Below are 19,311 nucleotides of genomic sequence, written 5' to 3'. Positions count from 1 at the left end.
TCAAATAGTGTGGCATATCACAGAGAAGTCTTTTGTGAAAGGAAGAGTCAGCTGATGTGACAAACTTCATTGTTGTCTTATTTTAAGAAATGGCTGCTGGCATAGTGGATTGTGCCTGTAATCCTAGCACTTTGGGAGACTGAGGCAAGAGGATCACTTGAGACTAGGAGTTCAAGATCAGTCTGAGCAACATAACATTATCCCATCTTTACAAAAACAGATTTTTGTTTTAATTAGCTGGCATCATGGTGCACCTATAGTTCTAGCTACTCTGGAGGCTGAGGCAGGAGGATTGCTTGAGAAGGAAGCAGTCTTTCTGGAGGATTGCTCCAGAAGGTCAAGGCTGCAGTGAGCTATGATTGTGCCACCGCACTCCAGCCTGGGTGACAGAAGGAGGCTCTATTTCAAAAAAAAAAAAAAGAAAAAAGGAAAAGAAGGAGAGAGAGGGAGAGAGAGAAAAGAAGGAAAGGAAAGGAAGGGGAGGGGAAGGGAGGGAAAGGGATTGCCGCAGCCTCTTAACCTTCAGCAGCCAACACCCTGATCAGTCAGCAGGTATCAGCATGGAGGCAAGACCCTCCACCAGCAAAAAGATTGTGACTCACTGAAGGCTCAGTTGATTGTTCGCATTTTTTAGTGATAAAGTATTTTTAAAATTAAGGTGTGTACATTTGATTTTTTTAGATGTGTTATTGCATACTTAATAGACTATGGTGTGTTGTAAACATAACTTTTATATGTACTAGGAAACCAAAATATTTGTGTGACTTGCTTTATTGCATTATTCACTTTATTATAGTGATTTGGAACCAAGCCTGCAATAGCTCTGAGGAATGCCTGTAATTCACTGGGCCCTGGGTAGATCACTCAGGAGGATTTTGTCTCAGTAGCAGGGAAAAATCAACCCTAGACTGAGCAGTGGCTCCAGGCCTTCCTAATAATTCATAAAAGCAGGACCCCAAAGGATCAAACTGTTTTCAAGTTACTTAACTGCTTTCCAGAACAAAGCATAAGAATATTTATAGGAATACAAAAATATTTAGCACCCAGCAAGGTAAAATTCATGGTGTCTGGCATCCAGAGATCATCAGGCTTAAAAAAAGCAGGAAAACACAATTGATAATGAGGTAATCAGTCTTCAAAATTGGCCTAGAATTGACAGAAATGTTAGAAGAAAAGGACATTAAAACAGTTGTTACAACTGCATTTCATATGTTCAAGAAGCTAGAGGAAAGACTGAGCCATAGAAGATACAAAAAAAGGACCCAAAGCTGGGCGCAGTGCCATGTGCCTGTAGTCTCAGCTATTCAGGAGGCTGAGGCAGGAGGATCACTTGCACCCAAGAGTTCAAGGCCAGCCTGGGGAACATAGCAAGACCCCTGTCTCAAAAACAAAAAAAACCCAAATCAACTTCTAGAGATGAAAACTACAATATCTAAGATGAGAAATACACTGGATAATAATGAATGCAATAATTGAGAATTTTTTAAGAGGAAAAATATACTAGATGAGATTAATGGCAGATTGAATAATGCTAAAGAAAAGATGAGTGAATTTGAAGCCATAGCAGTAGAAACTATCCAAGATGAAGTGCAGAGAAAATAAAGAATCCAAAGTCATAGTCATGAGGACAGAATAAAGACATTTTATGTCTTTTTGTTTTGTTTTGTTTTCCTTTTTGTGGAGAACAGGGTCTCTCTATATTGCCCAGGCAGGTCTTGAACTCCTGGGCTCATACTGTCCTCCTGCTTCTGCTTCCCTAAGAGCTGGGATTACAGATGTGAGCCACCATGCCCGGCCAGAATAAAGACATTTTAAAACTAAAAAAAAAAAAAAAAAGAGTTTGCTTTGCATTAATCTTTTTTTTTCTTTTTTTTCGTTTTTATTTTTTAGTTTTTATTTTTTTTGAGACGGAGTCTCACTCTGTCACCCAGGCTGGAGAGCAATGGCATGGTCTCGGCTCACCGCAACCTCTGCCTCCTGGGTTCAAGTGATTATCCTGCCTCAGCCTCCTAAGTAGCTGGGATTACAGGTGTGAGCCACCACGCCTGGCCAGAATAAAGACATTTTAAAACTAAAAACAAAACAAAACAAAACAAAAAAGTTTGCTTTGCATTAATCATTTCCTTTTTTTTTTTTTTTGAGACGGAGTCTCACTCTGTCACCCAGGCCAGAGAGCAATGGCACGATCTTGGCTCACCGTAACCTCCGCCTCCTGGGTCCAAGTGATTCTCCTGCCTCAGCCTCCCGAGTAGCTGGGATTACAGGTGTGTGCCACCACACCTGGCTAGTTTTTGTATTATTAGTAGAGACGGGCTTTCACCATGTTGGCCAGGCTGGTCTTGAACTCCTGACCTGAGGTGATCTGCCCGCCTCGGCCTCCCAAATTGCTGGGATTACAAGCGTGAGCCACTGTGCCTGGCCTGCATTAATCCTTTCTTAGCTGTTGGATAATGTGTTCCATCAAACAAGGGTAGTTAACCAAGAAAGAGGAGACAAGTAACCCGCAGAGCAAAATCCATCAACTGAGAGCTCCAGGATGATGTCAAAGAATGTGAAAGTCCAGCCAGAATGAGGTAGAAGAAGAAAGGGAATTTGAATTTCTGATATGTTTAAGTCAGTGGTTCTCAGTCGGGGTGAATTTGTCTTCTCCTTCCCCCTAGACATTTGACAATGTTTGGAAATATTTTTGGTTTGCATTTGGAGCAGCGGGGGCGGGTGCTATAGGCAGCTAATGAGGGCCTACAATGCACAGGGCAACCCCACAGAACAAAGAAATGTCAAGCCCAAAATGAAAATAGTGTTACTGTTGAGACACCCTGGAGTAGGCAAATTGGATGGGGCTGGTAGAAAAAAAACAGAATTGATTTGTAAAAAAAAAATTATACAGGTGAAAAAAATGAAGCTGTTAGTACTTCTAAGAATAATAATAAGAAAGCAAATTGGAATGTAAAATGTACTTAGCCTGCAGTAAATAATATTTACATGGTTTTAACATTGTAAACAATAATTATTAATAAACCGCTTCAAGCGACAGCAGTGCAAGATGGCAGCCACCACAGGCTCAGTAGTAAAAGTCCCTTGCAATTTCCAACTGTTGGAAGAACTCGAAGAAAGCCAGAAAGGAGTAGGAGATGACACAGTTAGCTGGGGTCTAGAAGATTACGAAGACATGACACTTACAAGATGGACAGGGATGATAATTGGGCCTCCAGGAACAATTTATGAAAACCGAATATACAGCCTTAAAATAGAATATGGACCTAAATACTCAGAAGCACCCCCCTTTGTAATATTTGTAACAAAAAATTAATATGAATGGAGTTAATAGTTCTAATGGAGTGGTGGACCCAAGAGCCATACCAGTGCTAGCAAAATGGCAGAATTCATATAGCATCAAAGTTGTCCTGCAAGAGTTTCGGCGCCTAATGATGTCTAAAGAAAATATGAAACTCCCTCAGCCACCTGAAGGACAGTGTTAGAGCAATTAACCAAAAAGAAAAACCACAGGCCCTTCCCCTTCCCCCCAACATTCGATTTAAGCAGTCTTCATTTTTCAGTAGTAAATTTTCTAGATATGTCTTGTAGACCTCAGAGTACTGGAAAGGAAGCTCCCATTCAAAGGAAGTTAAGATACTGTAAATGATACTAATTTTTTGTCCATTTGAAATATATAAGTTGTGCTATAACAAATCATCCTGTCAAGTGTAGCCACTGTCCATGTAGTTGAACTTCTGGGATCAAGAAAGTCTGTTTAAATTGATTACCATCATAACTGGTGGGGCACATCTAACTCAACTGTGAAAAGACACATCACACAGTCATTTTGCTGCTGATTACACGGCCTGGGGTCTCTGCCTTCTCCCCTTACCCTCCCACCTCCCACTTTCCCTGCAACAACAGCCGTCTAGCCTGGGGGGCTTGTTAGAGTAGATGTGAAGGCTTCAGGTCGCAGCCTGTGGGACTACTGCTGGGTGTGTGGGGTGCTTTGCCTGCACCCCTGGTTTAAGTCTTAAATGATGCCCCTTCCAAGCCATCATCCTGTCCCCACACTCCTCCACTCCCACCTTTGGCCAAAGCATAGATTGTAACCCTTCCACTCACCTCTGAGATTGGCCTTTGGTGAGGAATTCAGAGCTTTCCCCATATCTTCTCTCCCCCACCTTTATCGAGGGGTGCTGCTTTTTATTCCCTCCTCAAGATCCTTTTTGCACCATCACCACCCAACACCTTCCATGAGACTTCCTTGCTTTGGCCAGAAGACATCAGGTAAGGTTGGAAAGAGTCTTTGACCTCCCTTGTTTAATTTTGTAACCATACTTATTCACTCTCCACCAGCCTGGGAAATGAATATTGGGTCCTCAGCCCTGCCACCCTCTGCTGTCATTGGCTGATGCGTTGTTTTTAGCTCAGGTTTTGATAAGGTGAAAAGAATAGTCACCAGGGTTACTCAGACCTGCCAGCTCTCAGAGTCCTTGGTGGTTAAACTCGGAGAAAGGCCACATGAAGACACTTGGAAGCACACGTGATCCTTCTGAATTGTTTTACTTTCATGTAATGGCTTTTGCTTTTAAAAATTGAAGTTTTAAACAGGGCTTTCATGGTCATCCTTGCAATCCATTGGGGTCTAGTTTGGAATCTGAAAACTGGAACAAAAAGAACCTTGAATCCGGTGCATGCCTTGGTTTTGGTGCTGCTGCTGCTTCTCAAGATCCTCAGCAGGGATTAAGAAAGAACCCGGTGTGCACAGCAGATCCCCGAAATTGGTTGGCTTGACCTCCTGGCAAATTGCTGCGTCTTTCCACTTTCTGTTCAGGACCACTAAATGCTGAAATTTGGATGCATACCAAAATAAAAGCAATTCATTGTGTAAAAAAAGTTATTATTAATAAACTAAAAAAGTCATATTATGATATTAAATGATGTTAGGATATGTATGTGTAAACAGTTTGGGGGCCAGGCACAGTGGCTCACACTTGTAATCCCAGCAGTTTGGGAGGTTGAGGTTGGTGGATTACTTGAGTCCGAGAGTTTGAGAAAGAAACAGTTTGTGAATAGGAATGGGTGTAGAAGAACTACATCTTTGCCAGAAGTCAATATTTAGTTTCTAAATTGATAAATCAAAAAATAGTGATAGAAGCATATTGTATCAAAACTGGAGGTAAATACCAAAAATAAAATGAAGTGAGTTCTAAGTGGTTGCTTCTTTTTTAAAAAAATTATTTTTTGAAAATGCGGAATGCTTCACAAATTTGCATGTCATCCTTGCACAGGGGCCATGGTAATCTTCTCTGTATCCTTCCAATTTTAGTATATGTGCTGCTGAAGGGAGCACCTAAGTGTTTGTTTATGAGGAGTGAGACTAGTGGGGGTTTGGGAAAGGTTGGAGTTGGGGATTACCATTTTTTATTATAAGCCTTCTGTACCATTTGATTTTTAAAGCCATGGACATGGATTATTTTGATTAAAATTTTATTTAAAACAAAGGCAAAAAATATACAATATACACAAGTCTGTATGTGCATGTGTGTATGTATAAATATATATGTGCCCATTATTGAAGATAATCAGTACCAAAGTTTCTGAAAAAATAGTTTCCTTGTATGGTAAAACATTTATTAATATGTATAGGGCAAATATAATTGATAAATTTTTGATTTATTATTCTGTTCACACTAGTTTATACCAAAAGAGTCATTTCTGAACATCAGAAAATAATTCTGATTGTCCTAATGATATTGACTTAATTATTTCAATGTTTTTGCCCTCTGTTGCAGTTGCAGGATGTGAGTTTGAATCTATGGAATGTCTACAGCAAGATGGATCCTATGTCTCTGGAGAGTTTGCTTTCAGATGTAAGGAGCCAAACAGTAACTTTTAAATATTAGTATTACGTCCAGCTCAGTTACCTGCTAGTGATCTTTAATTTGAAGAAATGCAAAGGATATTTTAGTTTGCTTCGGTCAAAAAATAGAGCAGTTTCTTCCTTGATTATTGTCTTGAATTCCTTGGGGGTATAAAGGAACCTGGCAAAGTGACACTGCTCCCTCTTCCACTCTGAGGTGACTTCACTGGAGGCAAAACCAGGGCCTCCTGCCTGGCCTTTAGGTTTAGGTTTTTATCTAAAGGCATTCTTTCTGTTGGACTGGACTTTAGAAAAACAATGCAGAAGGCTTTCTCTGGCATGAAAAGATAGAAAGATGAGATTATGGCTTAAAGGAATCAAGGATTAGAGCCCGGGGGGCAAACTTTTTCTGTGAAAGTCTAGTTAGTGATATTTTAGCCTTTGTGTGCCTTATGGTCTCAGTGGCAACTACTTAACAATGCCATAGTAGCATGAAAACAGCTCTAGACAGTGTTTAAACAAATGGGTATGTCTGTGCTCCCAGGAAACTATTTACAAAAATACACGGCCTGTCTATATCAGGATCGGGGGGAAATTTGCAACGAGCGGCAACAAACAGAACTAAAGCTTTAGGACTCTGTACTCTGGTTAGGCAGGTCAGTGGTGTCTCTCAGTGGCCATAGATAGATATGCATGGTCACAGACTTAGAATTAGCCATTTCACCAAAGAGCTTCAGTACAATTAGTGAGGAACAATATTTAACAACCAAGATCTGGGCATTAGGTATGTTTCTTGCTTCTGTGGGGACATTGGTTTTAGGCCCTTTGAGTGGGCATGCTGAGAAAATAAAGTAAAAGAATAATAAGGAAAAGATACAGTTTCAAAAATTGTCTTTCCTTGAAAGAACGGAAGGTTTGAATCTACGTATTCAAAAGGGCAGACTGGGCACAGTGGCTCACGCCTGTTATCCCAGCAGGTGTGAGGAGGCTGAGGCAGGTGGATCACCTGAGGTCAGGAGTACAAGACCAGCCTGGCCAACATGGTGAAACCCCATTTCTACTAAAAATACAAAAATTAGCCAGGCACAATGGCACGCGCCTGTAATCCCAGCTACTCAGAAGGCTGAGGCAGGAGAATCGCTTGAATCCAGGAGGTGGAGGTTACAATGAGCTGAGATCATGCCCCTACACTTCAGCCTGGGTGACAGAGCAAGACTCCATCTAAAAAAAAAGAAAAGGGTATACCATGCCCCAGAGAAAATTGTCCCACAATGGTCAACACTGAGACATATTCTAATAAAGTTAATAGACTTCCCCTCAAGCCCTAAATCCCCCCAGAAAACAATAAAATGCGTTGGCATCCAGGTACAGATAAAGTAGAAAAATGCAGGGTGGCCTTGAGTTTCTCCATAGCAGAAAAAAAAATGAAGCAACATACCTATAATAAAATCCTCAAGAACAAAAATATAACACCCAAATTTTATTTTATTTATTTATTTTAAAAATATATATATTTTTAGAGACAGGGTCTTGCTCTGTTCCCAAGCTGGAGTGCAGCGGTGATCATAGCTCACTACAGCCTTGAACTCCTGAGCTCAAGTGATTCTTGCACCTCAGCCTCCTGAGTAGCTGGGACTACAGGCGTGCATCACCACACCTGGCTAATTTTTTATTTTTTTTGTAGAGATCAGGTCTTGCTGTGTTGCCCAGAGTGGTCTTAAATTGCTGGAACCCGGGAGGCAGAGGTTGCAATGAGCCGAGATTGTACCATTGCGCTCCACACTCCAGCCCGGGCAACAACAGCGAGATTCTGTCTAAAAAAAGAAAAAACCTGAAAAATTAAGTAATAAAGATATAAATAACAATACAAAATGAAATGAACAGTAAAAGATAAAGCTGGATGGGTGAGGAAGGAGGGATTAGGAAAAAGAAGTATACTAATTTTATTACTGAACATGGTCAGAGATTAAGAAAATTGAGCATTAAAGTTTTTACATTAGTTAACAAGGTAAACACTAGCACTCGGTAATATTTATTTATTTATTTATTTTTTTGAGACAGAGTCTCACTCTGTCGCCCAGGCTGGAGTGTAGTGGTGCGATCTTGGCTCACTGCAACTTCCACCCCCACAGGTTCAAGTGATTCTCCTGCCTCCGCCTCCCAAGTAGCTGGGATTACAGGCGCGTGCCACCACGCCTGGCTAATTTTGTATTTTTACTGGAGATGGGGTTTTGCCATGTTGGCCAGGCTGGTCTTGAATTCCTGACCTTAAGTGGTCCGCCCACCTCGGCCTCCCAAAGTGCTGGGATTACAGGCCTGAGCCACCACACCTGGCCTCACTAATAATTTAAGTAATGAAAACACTACATATCAGAGTATTTGAAAAACAGCTAAAGGAGTGCTTGTAAGAAATTTTTAATTGAAAATAAGTAGCCAAGTGAAGAAGGGGAAAAGAGTAAGGAAAGAATTCACTGCATGGAAAGCAGAAAATAATGAAATAGAACATAGGAATTTATAAATAATCCCAGCACTGGTACTTTGGACCTGAAAATAATGAAATAGAGAAACCATTAGCTTAATTGTGGTAGGTTATATTATTTTTTCATACCTTTTTTTTTCCCTTCATGCCCTTGTTATAGTTGACAGTGGTTATTCTTTCCTGTTACACTGATGTTGGCCCTGGTCATATGGAAGGTGATTGGTCATAACATGACATGTCTGACCAGAGGCCTTCGGTGTTCTTGTGTAATTTTTCTTGGCCTCTTATACTCTTGCTGTGAGAACTTTTCTCAGGTAGTTGCTGCTTTATGTGTGGGTCCTGAAATGACATACATAGAACAGACTGTAACAGTCCAGCTGAGCCATAGCCAGCCTGCAGACCTGTAAGCAATAACCTCACTAATAAACTAATCTAACAAGAAAAAAAAGGGAAAAAGCAGAAATTTCAAAAGAGAAAAGAGGGCAATGATAGGTACAAGGAAGTTAAGAGTCATAAGAAAGTAATTGCATCATTTCAATGCAAACACATTTGGTTAAAGGTTAATTAAAATAGGCCCCAGGATAGATAGAAAATCTAAAATAACCAATTGAAAAAAGGCAGAGAAATTACCAGGAACACATTTCGTAATTCTCCTAAAACCTTCAAATATAGTTTCAGAGCTATTTAAAAGTTCAGATCTGGCCGGGCTCTAAACCAGGCTCTGAATTTGGGCTGGATTAGCAGCTCACGCCTGTAATCCCAGCACTTTGGGAGGCCGAGGCAGGTGGATCACCTGAGGTCAGGAGTTCAAGACCAGCCTGGCCAACATGGTGAACCCTCATCTCTACTAAAAATACAAAAATTAGCTGAGCATTGTGGCACATGCCTGTAATCCCAGCTACTTGGGAGGCTGAGGCAGGAGAATCACTTGAACCCGAGAGATGGAAGTTGCAGTGAGCCAAGATCACACCTCCAGCCTGGGCAACAGAGCGATACTCTGTCTAAAAAAATAAATAAAAGTTCAGATCCTACCCTTAAAACGTTTTAATGTAGTGATGAACTAAAACCAGACAGCATTGAAAAAGAACATCTTGCAAACTTTTAATGAAATTAGCTTAAAACAAAAATTCAGACGGCACTGGATCTGAAAAAAAAAAGAGAAATTAGCTGTTATCAAAACTCAATAAAAAGAAACTAAAGAAAATGAAAACTACAGACCAGTATTATGAATATTGATACCAGTATTTTAAGTTAAATATTAGCAAACAGAACCTAGTGTCATATTAAAATAATATTCTATGAAGTAGGGTTTATTAAAGGTTCTATATTTAGTTCAATATCTGGAAATCTACTAGTGTAATTGCTATATGAATTTTTCCTCTTGGAGGCTTTTGTAATGACTCTATAGATGCTAAAAAAAGGCATTTGATAACATTGAACATCTGTTCTATTTAAAAATTTCTTTTTTTTTTTTTGAAACACAGTCTCACTGTCACCCAGGCTGGAGTGCAGTGGCACAATCTCAGCTCACTGCAGCCTCCACCTCCTGGGTTCAAGTGATCTCATACCTCAGCCTCCTGAGTAGCCGGGACTACAGGTGTGTGCCACCATGCCTGGCTAATTTTTGTATTTTTAGTAGAGACGGGGTTTTACCATGTTGACCAGGCTGGTCTCAAACTCCTGACCTCAGGTGATCTGCCTGCCTCGGCCTCCCAAAGTACTGGGATTCCAGGCATTAGCCACCAAACCCAACCTCTGTTTAAACATTTATAATTAAAGAAGAATGTAAAAGAAAAATAACATCAGAAATTTTTGGTTTTTGAAAAAACATCATCATCCCCTGGCGAACCTAATTATGAAAAAAAGTGAAAATGCACAAATATACAGAGAATGTAAGAATTAGGAAGACCATTTAACCACAGATAAAGAAGAGAGACAGGTAATTTAGTAGTATCTGCATGCAGTCTCCTCAACTGAGGATACTGCAGGTCACACATAGAGGCCAGAATAGCACTGTAGTTTTAAGAACATTGCTAGTGTCCCTAGAGTCAGTGGAGAGGGTCCACTCGGGAGAGCATCTTTAATTGCACCTGGAACAGCAGCGACATCATGCAGCTGAAGCAGCAACAGTGGTGATCACCATGGGCTGTAGAACATGCTCTTTCCTAGTTTTCTGACTTCTATGAGCTTGATTCTTAGGTGATGGGAAGGAGAAGGAAGCCCTTTTGATGTGTGATAGTGGACTTCTCATCCATCCTGAAGAGTAAAGGCTGAGAGCCAGATTCAACTGTATTTGGAAATAATAAAGTAAGGTGACAACTCTGCCTGGAAGTGCTCAGGATTGCTTCTTAGAGGAGTCATGTGTGGTAATCAGAGATTTTCCAGAAAGGGGAGAAGGTGGTAGAACATTCTAGACAGAGAGAGAAGGAGGCTTTCTGAAAGTGCCAGAATAGTCCTCTGCTGAATTTTGAGAGAAGGTGCTCAAATGTGGCTGCTTTGCCCTCACTGGTATTTAAGCCGGTCCTTGCCTAACTTGAGGATGGTACAATGAATATGGACTTGGAGCCACCCAAGAGCTGCCTCTGCTGGATGCCAGCCTAGAGCCAGGAGTTCTGTTTGAAGTTCAGTATCTTTGTCCTCTGGCTAAGGGCCAAGGCACAGTGGCATGGTTCTTGACCTCTGTTGCATCTTTCTTCTGGATTTGGCCTTGAAGAATCTGAATGATAAACTTTCCATCCACCTGACCAGTTCCACTTACTTACAACAGTATCCATTTCCACAAATGCAGTGTTTATGTTGGGGAAAAGTTGGGAGAATAGCATGTCTAGCGGAAAGCACACAGGTTCTAGGTATCTTTTGTCTAGATATTTTTCTGCTTTTGCTGCTTGTTAGTCTTGAATCCTCAGGCAAGTCACTTTATTGCCTGGTGCCTCAGTCTCTTCTGTAAAGTGGGCATAGAGAAGTAACAAAGATGTCAGAAAGATTTAAAAGGACAATATACATAAAATAACATTTCATATAGAATGCTGGTGATTTTTAATAAGAGTCATTGCATCTTGCATTGGAAAAATAGAATGTGCATGGAGCTAAAAGCAGCACTTAATGATTCATTCTACCTTATTCTATAATTAGTACTGACATATCCACCTCCCTCAGGGGTGGTTTTTTGGGTAACAAAGTGCCTATCTTCTTCTCTGTAACCCCTAAAGCACACTGCGTTTTTCACCTACAAGTTAGCAGAGAATTGGTATTGCTTGACTGTGTGACTGCTTCCTGTCATAGACCCAAACCAAAATGGGTGTCACCAGGCAGGCCATTTAAGTGGAAATATACCTCCTGAGTCTGTTTCTAATAGAATTGAAACACAGTGTGTTCTGTATTAATAGCCTTTTTTTTTGCGGGGGGGGGGGTGGTGCGGGGGGACAGGGTCTCACTCTATTACCCAGGCTGGAGTGCAGTGGTGCTATCTCGGCTCACTGCAACCTCTGCCTCCCAGTCTCAAGTGGTTCTCCCACCTCAGCTTCCCTAGAGGCTGGGACTGCAAGCACTTGCCACCACACCTGGCTAATTTTTGTGTTTTTTAAATAGAGACAGGGCCTTGCTGTGTTGCCCGGGCTGGTCTCAAACTCCTGGGCTCAGGTGATCTGCCCACTCCCAAAGTGGATGAGCCACCGCACCCGGTCCCTTTTTGTTTTTTTAAAGTCTCACAAAGTGAAGCATTCTGGTAAAGCTGAAGAGGTTGGACAGAGCCAAGTAAGCAAGGCAAAGATGCACTCTGAGATGGGTGGCTTTGGGCACAGCTTCCCTGAGGCCAGTGATGTGCATTATGAGTATCAGAGAGAGAGAGCAGACAAATGTCAGGATGTTGTGGGGAGGGCTCAGATGTATATATTTATTTACATATATATACACATATGTTATATATATGTTATATATATCTGTATATATTATATAACATCTGTATACATGTTATATATAATGTGTTATATATACATATATTTACATATTGAGGATATGTCACTTTATTGCTTGGTGCCTCAGTCTCTTCTGTAAAGTGGGCATAGAGAAGTAACAAAGATGTCAGGAAGATTTAAAAGGATAATATACATAAAATAACATTTCATATAGAATTATTTCATATGGAATTTACATATATATATAACATGTAAATATATATTTATGCATATATATATATATATAAATATTTTGAACTCATAGATTTAAACATATTTGATGTGTTGATATCCATTGCAATTACCATCTTTCTCACAGCCAGCCTTGGGCCGACCTGCAGTAGAGGCAGTACTGAAGATACCTAGTGTGCAAGGTCTGATAATAAGCACTTGATACAGGTTATTTCACTTAATTCCTGTAATATCTCTGCAAGGTAGATAGTAGTCATCCCAGCTATATAAGGCATTTGAAGCTCAGGTTAAGTTGCTTGCCCAGGGTCACACAGCCAGTAAGACGCAGAGATTCAAGCACAGGTTTTTCTGAATTGAAACGTTCTTTAACTGCTGGAATGTGAATGACAGCCAACTGGAAAAGGAGAGTAGATCTGGGACCAGAGAGGTCAGACAGACATTGAAGGTCTGTGGTTAAAGTGTTAGTTGGCAGCGCTAGAAGTGTATTTATCTCCAGAGTCCAGAAGGGGATAACCCAGTGCCAAAGTGGAAAGATTGCCCTGGGCCCAGGATACAGGGGCACTGATTGGACCTGATAGCAGGGAGTCAGAAACCCAGACCCAAAAGGATTGGTTTATCGGGCCGAGGCACAGAGGTGGTATGGCAAAGCATTCTAACCCAGGACCCTGCAGATTACCAGTTACAAGTACATGCGCATTTCTATATACAAAATACTATGTAAAAATAAGTTGAGAGAACATTTCCCAAAGTGTTTACAGTGATTCTTATTCTGTTTTCTGTAATGAACAAATAATACTTATGCATTTGCTTTTAAAGACTTTTCATTATTAAAATAACATAGATGGCCAGGTGTAGTGGCTCACACCTGTAATCCCAGCACTTTGGGAGGCCAAGGCGGACAGATCACTTGAGGTCAGGAGTTTGAGACCAGCCTGGCCAACATGGTGGAACCCCATATCTACTAAAAATACAAAAAATTTAGCTGAGATCATGCCACTGAGATCACGCCTGGGTGACAGAGCAAGACTTTGTCTCAAAATAAATAAATAAATAAATAAATAAATAAAATAACACAAACTCAGAAAATAGCATAAAACTGATGTACAATCTAATAACTTATTGTAAAGCAAAGCAACAGAACCTCCATTACCTCCTTCCTCTTCCCACAAGAATAACACTATCGTGAATTCTATGGTAGTCATCTCCTTACTTTTCTTTGCAATTTTATCATCCAAATGTGATTTTATAAACATAGGTTAGTTTTGTTTGCCTGCCCTGTATGCATGTGTGTGTTTTCGGTTTCTTTTAATCTGTAGGTTTTCTCTATCTCTTTGTCCCCCTGCCCCCTAGCTGTCTGTTGAAGAAACCAGATCATTTGTCTTATAGTTGCCATCAGTTGAAATTTTTTTTTTTTTTTGAGATGGAGTCTCACTCTTGTTGTCCAGGCTGGAGTGCAGTGGCATGATCTTGGCTCACTCCAGCCTCCACCTCCTAGGTTCAAGTGATTCTCCTGCCTCAGCCTCTCCAGTAGCTGGGATTACAGGTGCATGCCACTATGGCTGGCTAATTTTTGTATTTTTAGTAGAGACGGGGTTTCTCCACTTTGGCCAGGCTGGTCTTAGTAAGGTGCTAAGGCCTGCCTTAGCCTCCCAGAGTGCTGGGATTACAGGCATGAGCCACTGCACCTGCCCCAGTTGAAATTTTCTTAATTGTATTCCCATGATGTAGTTTAACATTTTCCCCTGTCTCCTGTTTATCCTGATCATTGGTAATTGAATCTAGAGGTTTAATCAGTTTCAGGGTTGATTTTTGGAGAAAAGACTACTTCCTACAGGGTGTTATATTCTTTATCAAGAAGCACATAATGTCTAATTGGTTCTCTTTTTGTTTTGTGAACAGCAATGGATGTGTAATCCCTAGATCCTTAATTCATTAATTAGATCCTCAATTCACCATTGCACAATGGTGTTACTCCAATTGTATATATATACATAAATATATTGTATATATGTATATTGTATTTTGAACTCATAGATTTAAACATATTTGATGTGTTTATATCCATTGTAATTACTACCATCTTCAGTGACGCTCAAATTTTTCTATCTTTGGATAATGAACTCCCTTCAAGTTGTTTCACAATTTAACAGAATCTTATTTTAACAGAATACTAATAGTCCTTGATAACTTCCTTGCCAGCTACTATGTTAAGATATCCCAGCCTTATCTTTACATTTCCTGTCTGAGACCCACTCTCAGTCAGTTCTCTAAAATGTTCTGGTTTCTTTGAATGAGAAGTGGTATTTCAGCACCACAATCTGAGTGCTAGAAGTACTCATTGCTGCTGGTTTGGCCATTGTTTCTAAATCTCTTCAGTAGATAGAGCTAGGAAATATTTTCTGTCTCTTTCTCTCTCTCTGTCTCCCTCCTCCTAATATGTGTATGTATGTATATATAGATAGATAGATAAGATACCTGTATACACACACACATTTTTTTTTGTTTTATCCTACGTTATATATAAAACATACTCAGAAAACACTATCAGCACTGTCACCTACATGATGACTAAAAGGAATTTTTTTGGTAGAGATGGGGTGTCACTATGTTGCCCAGGCTGATCTCGAACTCCTGGGCCCAAATGATCCTCCCCCTCAGCCTCCCAAAGTGCTGGGATTGCAGGCATGAGCCACCATACCTGGCCAGAATTTGTGTGTGTGTGTGTGTGTGTGTGTGTGTGTGTGTCTGTGTGTCTGTGTGTCTGTGTGTCTGTGTGTCTGATAGTCTGGGCAGCAAGTAGACAATGTTTACATTGTCTTCCCAGCAGTGTTGCCTTGTGCTTTATGTCTAGGGCCAGAAGTAGAGTCAGTACTTGGCTAGCACAGAGGTCTGAGTACTTGTGTATCCTTGAGAGGAGGAGGGCGTAGATCTGGCCAGTGAGTTTTGGTGCAGCAAACAGAATGCCTGCTATGAGCAAGGCACTAGACTGGGCGACTAACATACATACCCTTCCATGGTGTAAAATGGACAGGGAAGATGACTGTCCAATTTGAGTACAAATTATTAGCAACTTCAAAATAAGGACAAGGATAATACTTGAGGAGTATCTTAAGCAAGTCCTAATTGGTGGGGTTTTTTTGTTAATTGATGATAACCTTCAAGAAAAGCCCATAGCAAAAAGCAATTTGTAGTGCTTGAGAATAAGAATGAGTTCAGAAAGGATGCTAAAAAGCAGCTGGGATGGGGAATGGAGGCTGTATGTAGAGGAGAGTCAGCTAAGAAGGGTGCAGTTTCTCAGTGCTCATGTGGCTACTAGAAAGAGGGCATAAGGAAGGAGAGGGCTCTGTGCCACCCTTCCCTTTAACTAAAGTCAACCAGTCCTTCAACAAAGCTGCTCAGATGTGACCCTTTTGGCACTGGACATGGTACCATCCTTTAGGTGCCCTGTAAATAAATTCCTCCCAACAGGGTTGCTAAAATAAGGTGCTTAAGGATCATTACTGTCCATTCATTCATTTTTCAGACAGAGTCTCGTTCTGTCACCCAGGCTGTAGTGTAGCAGCACAATCCCAGTTCACTCCAACTTGGACCTCTTGGGCTCAAGCAATCCTCCCGCCTCAGCCTCCTGAGTAGCTGGGACAACAGGTGCGCACCACCAAGCTCAGCTCGTTTTTTTCATGGTGTTTTTTTTTTTTTTGTTTTTTTTTTTGGTAGAGACGAGGTCTCATCATGTTGCCCAAGCTGGTCTGGAAGTCCTGGGGCTCATGTGATTCTCCCACCTGGGCCTCCCAAAGTTCCGGAGTTACAGATGTGAACCACTGCTCCTAGCTATCCTTTTAAATGGCTTTATTTGGAGTATAATTTATGTACCATAATATTCATCCATTTTAAGTGTACAACTCAACGATTTTTAGTGAATTTACAGAGAACATTTTCATCGCCCAGAAAGTTCCCTTGTGCCCACTTGCAGTCAGTCTCCATCCCAACCCCAGGCAACCACTAGTCTACTTTTTGCCTCTACAGATTTGCTTTTTCTGGATATTTCATATGACTGGACCACATATCAGGTGGTTTTCTACATCCAGCTTTTTCATTTGGTATAATGTTTTTGAGATTCATCCATAGGAGTAGCATGTACTAGTAGTTTGCTACTACCTTGTAAAATAACATATATAAATGGTCTGGTGTTTTGAGATAAGTTACAGTTTCATAATTCTCGTTTTCTAAAATACCTCCTTTATATGACCAAACACGTTATCTTTTTCCTTTTTTTCCCAGGATTTGGTGGCTTTTGAACATCAGTGGACTAGCTTCTTCGCTAATTTTGACACAGAAATTCCTTTCCTGCTAGAACTTTCAGAATCTCAGGCGGGTGAGGTATGTAAGGGAAGGGTCAAAGAGGAAGAATAAAATGGTTAATTTATTTATTGTTTTAATTTTTTATTAAATTTTTTTCAAAATACAACACTATCAATTCTAATTTGTCATTTCTTTAAGCTGTGTTGTATACCATAAAGTAGTTCCCCCCCATGCCAACCCTTTATAAAAAGTTGTCTTTTATTTTGTGCCAGCTTCTCCATTAGAAGGATTTTTGCTTTGCAGTGTGGTGGTGCCAGGAATTCTACTGGGCACCAGTTAATAGACGTAGGAATAATTATCCACATGTGAGTAGCACACCTTTGTCAGTATAACCTCCAGATAATGAATGCCAAGATGTCTTTCCAAGCAGATGACGCTAGTCAGCAGTTACCAGGCTCATGAGTAAACCTGAAGTATCTAGATTGACAACCAAGACACAGGACAGCCTCAAAAACTAATCAGCAGGAAGGATCCAAGGAATCCTTCTAAGCTAGCATTCTAGCCTTCTTGGGCACTCACTGCAGCCCTCAACTCTGCTGTGCTCCCCTGTGGCTCAGAGCAAGCCCTCCTGCTGATGGTATGGAGCTGGAATTGATCTTTGTTGTTACGCATTTTACCTTTGAAATGGAGTCTCACTCTGTCGCCCAGGCTGGAGTGCAGTGGCATGATCTCGGTGCACTGCAACCTCTTCCTCCAGGGTTCAAGCAATTCTCCTGCCTCAGCCTCCCAAGTAGCTGGGATTACTGGCACACACCACCATGCCCAGCTAATTTTTGTATTTTTAGTAGAGATGGGTTTTACCATGTTGACCAGGCTGGTCTCGAACTCCTGATCTCAATCGCCCGCCTCAGCCCCCCAAAGTGCTGAGATTACAGGCGTGAGCCATCGCATCCGGCTACCTTTACATATTTTATAAACTCCACAATACAATGCTCTTATGTTTCCTTAAACAATCAATTACCTTTCTTAAAGATTTAAATAATAGGGAAAAAGTCTTATATATTTGCCAGTGTATCGCTTCTCAGCCTTTTGGCTAAGGTCAAGTGTAATATATTTGCCCATGTTGTTGCTCTCTCTGGTGCTCTTCATTCCTTTGTGTAGACCCAGACTTCCCCTTGGCATCCTTCTCCTTGAAGGTTGGTCTTTAATATTTTTTTGTGGTATTAATCTTCTGATGATAAATTCTTGCAGCTTTTGAGTGTCTGGAAAAAAAATCTTTATTTCGCCTTCATTTTTGAAATATATTTTTGCCATGTCTAGATTCTAGATTGACAATTTTTACCTTTTGATACTTGAAAGATCTTGCTTCAGTGTCTTCTTGCTTGCATTATTTCTGATGAGAAGTCCTTCATCCTAATCTTTGTACATAGCATAGTCTTTTATTCTAATCTCTGAATATAAGCAGGCCTTTTTTTTTCCCCCTCTGGCAGCTTTTAAGATTTTCTCTTTATTACTGATTTTGAGTAGTTTGATTATGGTATGTCTTGCTGTAGTTTTCTTCATGTTTCTTGTGCTTGGATTTTGTTGAGCTTCCTAGGTCTGTAGATTTATAGTTTCCTTTAAGTTTGGAAAGTGTTTCGCTGTTAACTCTTCAAATGTTTTTTCTTTTCCAAACCTCTCTTCTTTCCTTGAGGGACTCCATTTGCTTCTACATTAGACCACTTGAAGTTGTTCCAGTGGTCTATCCTTTTCAGTTTGGGGAGTTCTTTTTTCTTCTTCTATTACTATGATTCTAAGAGTGAAAGAGATTCCACAAGGTATACTCAGAAGTGTCACTGTCGTTTCCTGTTACTCTTTTCTTATTGCCTTCTTCTTTCCACCCATTTTCCCCACTCCATTGACAGTAGGTAACAAACCTCTTGAGTTTCTCATTTACCTTTTCTATTTCATTTGCACAAATGAGCAAATACATGTGCATTTTCTCATATTCTCACCTTTCTAACATTGAAGGGTAGCATATAGTCATTTCCACTTAACAGTATATCCTGGAACTCTCTCGCAGTCCTTTTTTTTTTCTTTGTTTTCTTAACAAAGTAAACATATTCAAGTCAGTTCATTGGGATCTTTGTTACAATTCATAGTACTCCATTTTGTGGATTTGTCTTAATTTATTCAGCCCCTCTTGTATGTGCACATAATGAGGTTGTTTCTAATATTTTGCCATTACAAACAGAGTCATAGTAAATAACTCAGCGCTTATGTATGTTCCTATTGTTGGAGGTATATATACGTACCTAGTGATGGGATTGCTGGGTCAAAAGGTGAGTGCATATGTCATGTTGTTAGTTATTGCCAAAGTCCCCTTCAGAAGGGTTGTACCAGTTTGCATTCCCACCAGCACTATATGAATGCCTGTTGCTGCACAACTTCACCAATAGAATGTATTGTCATACTTTAAAAATTTTCAGTCTCACAGATGAAAAATAGTATATCGGTATTGTTTTAATTTACATTTCTGTATTAGTAAGTTTGAACATTCCCTCATA

General features: G+C 40.4%; 1 protein-coding gene and 2 pseudogenes across 3 annotated transcripts in view; 2 read left to right on the top strand and 1 right to left on the bottom strand.

Annotated features, from left to right (window-relative positions):
• The window catches only part of DNAAF9 (dynein axonemal assembly factor 9), a 158,364-nt gene that overhangs the window by 42,302 nt on the left and 96,751 nt on the right, over positions 1-19,311 (top strand). For all 3 annotated transcript variants that reach the window (XM_005260684.5, NM_001009984.3, XM_047440081.1), the window contains exons 7-8: positions 5,775-5,852; positions 16,745-16,843. In XM_005260684.5, the coding sequence (XP_005260741.1) occupies positions 5,775-5,852; positions 16,745-16,843 (177 nt within the window). The remainder of the gene's footprint in view (positions 1-5,774; positions 5,853-16,744; positions 16,844-19,311) is intronic.
• UBE2V1P1 (UBE2V1 pseudogene 1) lies at positions 3,022-4,884 on the top strand (annotated as a pseudogene).
• RNU6-1019P (RNA, U6 small nuclear 1019, pseudogene) lies at positions 5,226-5,332 on the bottom strand (annotated as a pseudogene).

Source organism: Homo sapiens, chromosome 20 (genome assembly GCF_000001405.40).
Source record: "Homo sapiens chromosome 20, GRCh38.p14 Primary Assembly".
NCBI lineage: Eukaryota > Metazoa > Chordata > Mammalia > Primates > Hominidae > Homo > Homo sapiens.
Note: the sequence above shows the minus strand (reverse complement) of the source record. Positions and strands in the feature narration are given on the sequence as shown.